Here is a 12,177-nt window from a genome sequence, read left to right as displayed (position 1 = left end):
CAGCTAATGAGATGAGCTGACCTGCCTATTAGAGTTCTTTAATTATCGATAGCTTGTACTTTGAAACCAGTGTTTAGAGACAGGGTAATATTGAAAGCACCTGATCTAAAGTACAGTGTCATTCATTTCTGAGGCCATAATTATTAAATTTAAAAACTGTTTAAGTCACAAGTAATTTCTCATAAAATTTGAGTTGTTTATACTGAAACTGTAAAATAATCTATGAGATTAGAGAAATTTGAAGGAATATCTCAAGTAGTAAGCCACAACTTGGACATATCTATGTTTTTCCAGTATTTTTATGTAAATTTCAACTATACAGACATATCAAAATAATAGTGCAATTAACACCCATTTACTGATTTTATAAATTCTACATTATTATTTGGTTATATTTGCTTTATCACATATCCGTCTATGCAACTCTCTGTCTATATTTACATCCATGTTTACTTTGATGAATTTTTAAAAAGTTTGCTTAAATTAGTACAATTTACCTCCAAATATTTCTGCATGCATTGGATCAACTAGAATTCAATAATATTATGCAGATTTTTTTGGAAGTGATAACTTTACATACAGTAAAAAATCACAAAACAATACTATCATTTGATGACTTATGGAGTATGTCACATTCATGTGACTATTAGATATACACTCAGAAAATATATATTTAACATTTTTTGTCACAGTCTAGGGACTATAAAAAGATGATCAACGGTTTCTCTCATATTAATTATATATATGATGTGTATACATACATTATATATTATTAATGTATATGTAGTAATTATATATACAATGTTTAAATGTCTTTAATATAGACAGCTAGGAATGCAATGATTTGGTATATCCAATTTGACAAACAACTTTTAATTCAAAACATGAGAGGCAGTTTTTAAGTGGAGACAAAAGTAATCTACCCTAAGAAATTAAATTATATCAGCCTTTTCCTTTATTCAGTTGATATAATACAGAAGATATGACTTGGCATATCATATACCCGAAGCTGTGTTATAAGTTATACAGAATGTACCAGGAAAAGAAAATGTCACATTTATTGATTTGCAATGTACATGTGTCAAATTATATTACTTAACATTGTTCAGCAATAGACAGACATTTGTGTGTGTGTGTGTGCAGCTGTGTTATCAAGGAAATGAGAGAAGCATCTAGTATAAAATTGTATAAATAAACCAGTATGGTCAAAAAATAATAACAAGATGAAGAGAAGGTTCCCTAGGAAATCACTCACATAATATATCATTGTGTAATAACCACAGCCATAATATTTTGAGCATGTATTCTCAAGTTGAAGCTAAAGTTGCTATAATTTTTTTTGTGATTTATTTCCCTTGAAAGGTTTAGCTCAAGGGGTCATCTGCTCTAAAGTCATTGCTCCTCTTGGCTATTTTCCTTATAATATTATGATGGGTTCACAAAACTAAAGGTTACCAAAAATCTGGTCAATAATAACAAGTAAATCAATGATATAAAAATTATCCCCCCTTCCAAATTATTATTTAGAAATTAATCCAGTTAAGGCCGGGTGCGGTGGCTCACGCCTGTAATCCCAGCACTTTGGGAGGCCGAGGCGGGTGGATCACGAAGTCAGGAGATGGAGACCATCCTGGCTAACATGGTGAAACCCCGTCTCTACTAAAAAATACAAACAATTAGCTGGGCGTGGTGGCGGGCGCCTGTAGTCCTAGCTACTCAGGAGGCTGAGGTAGGAGAATGGCGTCAACCCTGGAGGTGGAGCTTGCAGTGAGCCCAGATGAGCCGAGATCATTCCACTGCACTACAGCCTGGGCGATAGAGCAATGCTCCGTCTCAAAAAAAAAAAAAAAAAAGAAATTAATCTAGTTAAAATTAACAGATATTATCATGTTATCCCCAGGCTTTTACAAGAGATATGTTCTATTAAACAGCATTTTAAAAATGCTATTCACATGTTTATTTTGAGATATACAATTTCCGATCTTGGATAACTCTGAAGCACAGGCACATGTAATTTAATGGGCAATGTCCTCTCCAACTTTAAAAAAGAAGCCATAATAATCCTAACAACATTTCTAAGATAACTGACTATGCATATAGTAAAAAATGGAAAAAAAAAAAAGATAGTGCATATTGAATTAGAAGACCAGAAATTCATGTTCTCACATAGTTTTTCCTCCAAGTCTGTGTGGTCTCAGCAAAGTCACTTCATGTGTCTGCGCCTCATTAATTTCAGTTGTAAAATAAAGGTAATTGGCTAGAAGAAGTTTCAGGCTCTTTCCAACTCTGAAGTTCTAGTATTCTAAGAATAATTTGTATAGGCAGGCGTTCTTTGATCTTTTTTCTCTTTGGTAATTGTAATAGATTATAGTGCCATTCAGGGAAAGGCACTAAGAAGTTTTCAATGGCATTTTCTTTTTTACCTAATCAGTAGATGCAGTTAAAATAGATTGATATTGGCTTACGTTGTGGACTTAATGCTAGAAACAGTTTTATGTTGGTTTGAGCTTATTCAAACAGGCATATTTAAGAGGTCTGATGCAAAATGGTGATTCCACAAGAAACATTTAAGTTATAACAGTTATAACATAGCTGTATCTGGTTAAGACATATTTTGCCAAGTAGCTTTTCTTGTTAAATTGTCTCATTGGCTGACCAACTATTAATCAAGCTCTCCATCTCCCAATGTGGTAAAAGTCAAATGGATTTTGTCATCAGCTGAGCCATCTGTCTTCTCATACTGTTCTGCTATTTTTCTTCTTATTTTTGAAACTCTTCAACTGAAATTAGAAATTGAAGAGGAGGAGGTAATTAGTGAACACAAGTATAGCAGAATTTCATAAGCTTTGATTATTGTTCAATGTTCAGGCAATGAGGTAAAAATAGCATTTCAGATATGTTTGTATTCATTCAAGAGTTTCTTTTGAAGTTTTCTTGGAAAAATTCTATATACTCCCATGGTATAGATGCAGGAAAATGTGTTTGCTTTAAGCCAAGCATGATGGTGCTAGGCCCTCTATACTAAAGAAATATAAATTATCCTAAAGCAAAGCAAATAGAAATGCTACATTGGTGCCTGTTGTTTTCATCTGCTCTGGGAAAAGAAAGTATCCAAGGCTCTCATCTCAAGAGGACTGAGGTTCCACAAAGTGCTAAAAATACTTCCTACCATTCTTTTGTCCATTTACCTTAAGCCAAATGCTTATTTCTCTTGTCTTTATTGGGGTGGAGCCACCTGAAATTAAATGTTTGGAATGAGAGAAAATGAGAGAGGGGAAACACAGAGAGGAAGCAGAAATAGACTTTCTAATGAAAGGCCCCTAAACCTATCTCCTGTGTTATTGCTGGAAACCCTCTTACAGTGTTATTGACTGATAGCCACATAGTCCTTTCTTAAGCATATACTGTGTGGGAGGCTGTATTTTTCAGAGGGCAGCTCATCTTATAATTGGGCTGCATCAACTGTTAGGAAACTCACGTTCATGCAGGACAGAAGTGTTTTCTCCTTGTTATTTTCCACCAGTTGGTCCTGTGCTGGCTTATATATGTCTACTTCGTTTTATATTTGTTGATCTTTCAACAGTTTGAAGACCATTCTCTTTGTTAGTCTCTTTTTCTTTAGGTTAAACCTATACAGTTCCTGTGGTGGGACCCTATGCCTTCCTGACTCTCCAATCTTGTGGCTACTCTTTTTTTTGTTTTTTTTTAAGTCCTAAGGCTTCCCAAGTTATCATTGTGTTAAGGAACCTAAATGAGTTCAAAGCTCTTATTTGCATTGGCTGCCTTACAAACTGATCACCTCTTTTATTGAGACAGCTTTTACTACATTAAACATTTAATTGAGGAAAATTATAGGGTTTTCACCATGATTTTACAGTAAATAAGCTTACATTAATTTTGTGATGACAAATAATTTTAAAAAAATACCTGGGCACTGAATTTCTTCCTTTGAAAAAAGTAGAGAGCGTTACTAGCCTGAAAATTCTCTTTCCAACCGATCTGACTTAACTGCTCCTTAGGATGAAGTGCTGTTAGATTTATTTTAACATCTTCCTGATTGATAGGAATAAATCTTGCTACATATAGGTACTGTAAACTCAGAGGCTTTCAATTTTTAAGCTGTTTTTGTATATTTTCTAGTCACTATTATGAGAAATCATTCTTGTTAAGCAACAAGAATGATTGTTTCTTAAAAAACAACAACAACAAATGTTTAGGTGCAGTGACCTCAAACTCTTTTATATCAGACACTTGCAAGATTATTCTATCTTGTTCTATCTAAAACAACATAAATAGTCTTGAAAAATACTTTTCCATCAGTCCCAAGGATTTAAATACAATACTTAAAATTTGAAGCACTCTAAATCTTCGATGAAAAAATGTGGCGGAGATAGAGGCAAACTCCTGGAAGGAGTCTATCAGTGGAAGGCCATCAGTAGATGGGTCACACCTGAAAGCCGTAGTATGTATTACTCAACTTTGTGTTCCCATAGCCCAGCATAATATCTGGCCTATGATGGGTGCTAGAGTCTACAAGCACTCAGAGGTAAGTCAACATATTAGCGGGGTAGGGGCAGAGGCTAGTGGATTCTGCTTCTCATCTTTATTGCCTTTTGATAAAACAACACAGACCCCTGAGTATTATAATGCATGGACTGGAAAAGGACATTAGTAATTCAGAAAAGCTATTTATTGTTGTTTAGCCACAATATAGACAATAAATATCAACTGTCTGGCTTTATAAATTACACACAATGAAAGAAGAAGCTACCCAAGCTGCTGAATTATAACTGCCCCCCTCCCTTTTTTAGACAGAAGAGACCTTGGCAATGTTTCTGAAATCCCCCTAGGTTAGTAGAACATGGGGCAGAAGGTGGTTAGTAAATGGTATCATTTAATGAGACTTCCAGTGGTTCAGATGCAACTGGATTGATCTCTACCTACTTGGTTCATGTGTCAAGTGAATAGAATCCAAAACTTTGCTTAAAGGAGACAAACATTCCTGACAGTTCCATTGCCCATGCAATCTTTCAATAGAGTCCCTGGAGTGAAGGGCTGCTGTAGGCATACCTGAAGGACTTTGAAGTTAAAGAATATGTTTTTCCCAGAATTTCAATTCACGCCTACTTTCAAACATTACAGGTCAAGGAAAATCATGCAATAATACAAGTTGTGTATAATTTCTATATAATTAGAAAGCTATTTAAGTGTTTCTTGGAGGAGTTTGTGATCCAAATTTGCAGTACAGCCATAGTTTTAAAATTTATGAGAATCCACAGTGATGTCAATGTACTATGTGAATGTTGGAAAGAAAAAATAATTAAAGCAGGCAAGGCATGTAACCTACACTCCACTTGTTTTGTTAGAACTAAAGATTTAAACATGGTTGTGTATCATAGCACTAGTTGGAAAATTGTAGTGAGTTATTAAAACATATATTGAGTGTCTAGTGTATGCAACCCCCCAAAAATCAATGACCTTTTAATACCTAAAATAGAAAGATTATCTGCTTTTCTTTTCACTTCTATATATGTGATGGCTCACATGCTTTTGCAGCATAAAATAACACTTAATACCTCTTTCATTGAACTGATAACAATGTCCATTGTGTTAAACACTCCTTTTGAGCAAGCTCTGCATTTATTACATACAGTCTTTATATTTAATGTCTTTCAAAGTGACTGAAATAAGTTATGTGTTAAATAAATGTGTATTCAAGGAACAAACCCATGAATGAATGGTGTCTTACAAAGTAGGCCATGTAAGGTGTGAAAAGGACCTAAAAATTCAGACCAAGTTTAAGTGCCTTTGTTCAGTATGAACAAATCCAGATCCACCACAAGGAACAGTTCTCTGGGGAACATTTTTTAGTGTATTGACTAACACTTAATAGATAATTAATTAATTTGTATTTTTTAGTCTGTGTTTTCATGGCGAGTCATGTTTCCTAAATTGATTGAGAATAAATTCCTTCTAATGCATGACATGAATTCCATGCTAAGTTCTTCTTTCTATATTTTCTTAGATTTTATTTTGAAGGCTGTATTTCTGTGACCTTGAAAGCACAGCATGCAATACTGCACACTAGACATTATTCTTAATTAACAAAATAAGTGGTCATCATGGCCATATTGACCCAACAATTTCTTAAAGCAAGGAACAACAATAATAACAGACATTCACTGAGAACCTTCTCAGAGTGCTGTTGAGAAAACCCACTAGAAAGAAATCACAAGCCTTTCCCATTAGTCTCTAAAGACTACCAGGTATGTGTATTTGATAATTAATACATTCTAAAAGGCTGAGAAGCTGAATAGAGTTTTTGTTAGCACTTCTGGGCTAGCACGGCAAAACTGGAACTCAAGGCCTGCTGATAAGGGAGTCCAGTGGGTTGAAATCGTGAAAACCACATTTTAGGAATTAGGCCAAATTAGAAATAAACTGGACCTCACATCTTCAAATCATCTAGTTCTTGAAGTTGAATTAAGATCATCAGTGATTATTATTGCTACTAACTGCTTGACAGAAGCTTGTCAACATTTTATTTGTATAACATTATTTATTTGTATAACATTTTTCTATAAAATATCAGTAACACAATAAAAATACTCTAAGAGATAAGATAAAGCAATGAAAACCAAGAGCAGCCATACACAATAAAACAGAAACATAGGAAATGGAGATAATGTAATTGTCAGACATTAATGTAAAAATAACTATGACCACTATATTCTAGATAATAGAGGATAAAGTTGGGGTAGATCCTGCTGATTCTGAGTAAGATAAACACACACCTCTCTATATCTTACTGAATTCATCAAAGAAACTTAGATAGATGCACAGGAGTTATTATTTGGGAACTCTGAAAATTAAATACAAGGAACTAGATAAAGAAAGAATGGCACAATTTAACGTACCATTGAAACGGTGTTGTGTTTACCTTTTGTTTTCCACCTCTGGTATCCTCTGGCCTCAACTCAGCATAATTTGAAAACTGGAAGTAAGCTTTAGACTGCAGAGAAAGATCCAAAAGAAATCTACTAGTCTGACTTAAGGAGTGGAAAAAGAAATGCTGAAAACTCAGAAAGAATAAGTGAAATACCCATTTTTATTTATTCTCATTTTTTTCTGTTATCTTGTAATTCTGCCCCCAGGAAATCCCTTAATGGGGATGATGACAACAGAAAAAGCAGCTGAGAACAGGTTACTCCAGGAGCCAAAATTATTTGTCATTGAGAATTTTGACACACCATAAGAAATTGTAAAGAAGGATCAAGTATAGGTCAGAAAAATAAAAAAAAAAATACACACTGACAAAATAAAAACACAAATGGCAAGTTTAAAAACACTAGCTAGTTAAAAAACTAGTAAGAGGCAAAAAGCAAACAACCTAACTTAAAAATGGTGAGGCAAAAATGTTAAAAACACACAGAAGAGGCCTGGCATGGTGGTTCATGCCTGTAATCCCAACACTTTGAGAGGCTGAGGCAGGTGAATCGTCTGAGGTCAGGAGTTTGAGACCAGCCTGGCCAACATGGTGAAACCTCATCTCCAAAAAAAATACAAAAATTAGCTGGGCGTGGTGGTGGGCACCTGTAATCCCAGCTACTCAGGAGGCTGAGGCAGGAGAATCGCTTGAACACAGGAGGCAGAGGTTGCAGTGAGCCGAGATCATGCCATTGCACTCCAGCCTCGGTAACAAGAGCTAAACTCTGTCTCAAACAAATAAACAAACAAACAGAAAATAACATAAGAAATTTTTGGGAGAATGGTAAAGCCTAATATCAGGTAATTGGAATTCCAGTAAGAATGGAGAAGTGGCATTTGAGGAGATAATACCTAGCAGATTTTAAAAATAATGACAGATATCAAATATTATATTTAAGAAGCCTACAAAACCTAGGAGGCAAAATACAAAAAAGATCATTGTAGCAAAACTGTTGAATAATAAACATGTTTAAATATTTTTTACCTTGTTTTAGAAATAGATGTTTTAAATAAAAAATTTTTGAAAGGTATTATCCCTGTTATAAAACTAAGAATTTCCAAGAGATATATTGCATGGAATAATAGAGACTCAGAAAGGACTATAGTGTTTATCTAGTTGACCTCTTAATTTATAGAGATAACAATTTAATCTAAAAATTAGTCAAATCCATATCACAAATTGAAAACTGGAGGGGGATAGCAGAAGGGATTAAATTTGATAATTGAAGTTGGATCATGGAACTGTATCCAGCCTTCTCGAAATCCTAAAGTGATGGTAGGGGGTTGGTTGGGGGCTTTGAGGTTAGATGCAGATAATCCCACTAAGGATGAGTTTCAGTTTGGAGACAAAGTAAAACATTGAGAAAATAATAACATGGATAGTTTTCCTTACAAAGTAAGTTATCATTAGGAAAACCACTTTATCTACTTTTGAAGGGGATTTTTGAACATTACATTGCTTTATACAACATAACCAAATTAAATGTATAGCTTTTTAGGGGCGAGAACTCTATTTTCCACATATGCTGCATTATCTTCCTGAATGTTCCAGAGATTTTTCTAGCATTAAAATAAAATTCAAAAACAATTTACCAAATCTTTGCAAAAATTTTTAATAAAATTATTTTTAAAATTTTAAAAGAAAAACTTGAAATCAATCAGAAGAAAAGAGATTTTCTTCGTAGGATAAAATATTACACTGATACTGAACTTTTTATCAGAAACAAAACCAGATGACAATTGTCCAAGTTTGGGTTCAACTGAAGCAGACAGTGAAAGAGAGTTTGGTGTACACGATATTTACTAAGAATACATACCTATATCATAGAAATGAAAGACGGAGTGGGCAGAGGGAGAAGTTACGCTGTAATGCTACCCTAAAAATGCTTCAGCCAACCCCACTGGAATTTGGGAGAATATATGGCCCATGAGAGTTGTCCTGCCATAATAGCTGGATCTTTCTGTTCCTTACTGCAATTGTTCATGGAATATGGGCTGCTGCAGGAAAGGAAGGCCCTTAGGTGAAGTGGTCCTCTGTAGCTGAATCAACTCTGATGTTTCAGACAGCTAGAAGCTGTCTTCTGGCAGCTGAGATAATGAGTCCTCCCTTGAAGTAGGTATTGGTATCTAGCCTTATTTTCCTAACAATATATCCTTGTTCTGCTCAAATTCAGTTTTCACATACATTTTGCAAGTAGCTTCTTCAGAATTCTGGTTATCCTCTGTTCCTGGAGGAATGTTTGAAGAGCAGCAGTAGATGCAACCAGAGTTGGGTTCCTGACCTGTATGTTAAGGGATATGATACTAAGAAAGACAAAGAGGAAGTTTTGACATTGTCACCCTAGTTAACATAATAAAAACAATGTTACAAAGGTAACAACTCTTGCAATCTACCCATATTGTACCTTTGGGTAGATGGCAAAAGTTGTTGCCTTGCCTTCACAGATCAAAATGCTGTAGTAGTGGGGGTATTTGCCATTTTTAACTCACCACTCTAAGCCTTGCAGATTCAGGTGAAGGATGACAGTAAAACCCAACTCACCCAAGTAGTAGGCTCAATTTTAGCTGCTATGCTAGATGTATCAAGAGTCTGAAAGAATTATTAAAAGATTGGGGAAAGTGCTCTGTGGTAGAGGAAATGTGGATGGATGTAAAACAAAACCTGAAGGTCTTTGTATCCTATGTTAATGCCTAGCAAAGAATACCCATGATGAGACACTAATCCACCAAGTAGACATAATGAATCAGCCAGTTTACATCAGCCAGCCTCAAGGAACACCTACACCAATGCTGGCATGATGGACATATGAAAAGAATGACCATAAGTAAAGAAGAGAGGCTATGTATGGGCCCAGTGGCAGAAGGTTGATGTAGCTATTGCTATCACAAAATATCCAAACTGCCAGCAGTGGAGACTTGAACTGATTTCCCAATATGGCACCATTCCTTGAGGACACCAATGGACTACACAACAGAAAATTGATTACGTTGGCCTGTTTCCACGTAATTAATTCTGTAATTTGTTCTAATCAGACAGAAAAAAAAGCATATTCTAAATATGGGGATTGTCTTTTCTACCTATGTGGCCTGAGGCAGCACCGCTAACTAAGAAAGTATGGAATGTTTGATCTGTAAGAACGTGGTATCACATAACATATTTTAAGAATGAAATCCCACTTTACAACAAAGGGGGTATGGGAGTGGGACCGTAATCATGGAACCTACTAGAAATATCACATGTCACACCACTGAAAAGCTGTCAGCCTGATATAGTATTGGATCAGTTCAAGCACTGGCTTCAAGATGATATTCTATGGGAATGGACTCCCATTCTCCAGAATAAAGAATATGCGTCAAGTCAACAACCCTTAGATGATACTATTATCAAAAGAGAAGAATATTAATATTTAGATCTCAAAGCCAAGGGTAGGAAGATGCAGTGGCCCTACTATCCATCACCCATTGATCCACTGGGAAAATGTATACTCCTCTTTCCCAAAATTATAGCTTCTAAGTGGTTAAAAGTGCAAGTACACACATGTACATACTGTTGCCATAATCATAGTAGGACTCCCAGTGAATTATAAGATGTAGCAACTGCCGTTGCCCTTTTCTTGCTTTTGGATCAGAGACCAGCAGTCAAAAAACAAAACAAAACAACAACAACAAAAAAAAGTAACCAATCTGGCTGACAGGACTATGTTACAGTGATCTTCATGAGGAGGTACCCATGTTACAGGGAATGGGGCCGGGGAGAAATTTGTGCAAAATCCTAGTAATCCATTTAGACTTTTTTGGGTTCCCTTGTCCAATTGTGATGGTAAGTGGGCAAGAGAAGCAACCCCAGCCTGAGAGTGAAGACATGAAGACAGGAACTCAGAACCTTCAGAGATACTGGTCTCCAGGAGAGCCACTGCAGCCAGCAGATGTAGTGCTAAAGTAATGTAACTAAAAAGTGGATGAAAGAAAAATTAGTATCAGTTGAGGCTCTGATATCAACTACAGGCAGTAGGGGCTACAATTTTGAGCCCAGCCACTGGGCCTCATCCTGGTTCCCAGCTTTCTCTGTCCTGCTGCTGCAAGTAAAAGCTAAGCAGGAGTGAATCACAAAAGAGGTTATCTGATTTCCACTCTTGGCTTTTACCTGCCTGTTAATCACTTGCGGTTTTCATTTTCTCTTTTAGGATTCCAGTGGTGCTTAGTAACTGAAAAATAATGAAACTTGTTGGTTATTATTCCCTCTGTGTATCTCAAATGCCAGCTACATCACACATTCTATTGTATTTCTTTTTCCCAGAATTTTAACAACTGGACTATCACTGGGTCTGTGTTCCACTTAAAATCAGTGACAGATAACTTATGTCTAGGTATGCAGTGAGTAATCAGTTTCCACATTCTTATTTCATCATATGCTTTTTCAAATCAGTTTTGATACCAACTGTCCCAGTTTGGGTTTTCTAGAGAAGATGCTGAGACAAGGTTTAGCATACAGGATATTTATTAGTGATTAACACCTGCAGCATAAAGCAGGAAAGAGGTAGGATTTTGAGTGAAAACTGAAAATTTATGATGAAGATACAGCAAAGTCTTGGCTAATCTCATGGAAATCTGTGGCCTCTATGATTTAGCCCATGTTGGGCCAATTAATGCGCTGTGTCTTTATATTTCCACTGCAATCCTTGGTTATCAGTTGACCGAAAACAGCACATTTTGAAAAGACAGCTATGTGTACTGGAGGCAAATCATGAAGTTACTGACAGCTGGAGAATGTCTGCTGATAACAAAGACAAGTTCTTTCTTGATGGGAGTATTTGGGTGGCACACCAATTTTTCTACCATGACATCAAAGTGATATCCTCAAACAGCTATAAGAAAATAATGATTAAGCTAGACCTTCATAATTTATTATTGCATAATTCAAAACTGAATGTAAAATAGACATTTTTAGTCATAGAAAAACAAAGAAAACCTGTGATCAGCATATCTACTACAGTTGAGTCTTGAATAACATAGGTTTGAGCTGCATGGGTCCACTTACATGTGTGTTTTTTTCAATCAAATGCAGTATAGTATATGTACAAAATATAGTATTTATGAACCTGCATATACGGAGGGCCGACCTTTTATATATGTGAGTTCTGCAGGGTCAACTGTGGGACTTGAGTGGGTGTGCATTTTGGTATATCCAGG

The 12,177-nt window shown here is 35.7% G+C and overlaps 1 long non-coding RNA gene across 1 annotated transcript in view; it reads right to left on the bottom strand.

The window, feature by feature from the left end:
• Window positions 1-283: 283 nt before the first annotated feature.
• Window positions 284-12,177, bottom strand: part of LINC00992 (long intergenic non-protein coding RNA 992) — a 164,233-nt gene continuing 152,339 nt past the window's right edge. The window contains exon 6 of the long non-coding RNA NR_046089.1: window positions 284-2,780. This is a non-coding gene — a long non-coding RNA (long intergenic non-protein coding RNA 992). The remainder of the gene's footprint in view (window positions 2,781-12,177) is intronic.

The sequence above is a fragment of the Homo sapiens genome, chromosome 5 (genome assembly GCF_000001405.40).
Source record: "Homo sapiens chromosome 5, GRCh38.p14 Primary Assembly".
Classification (NCBI taxonomy): domain Eukaryota; kingdom Metazoa; phylum Chordata; class Mammalia; order Primates; family Hominidae; genus Homo; species Homo sapiens.
Note: the sequence above shows the minus strand (reverse complement) of the source record. Positions and strands in the feature narration are given on the sequence as shown.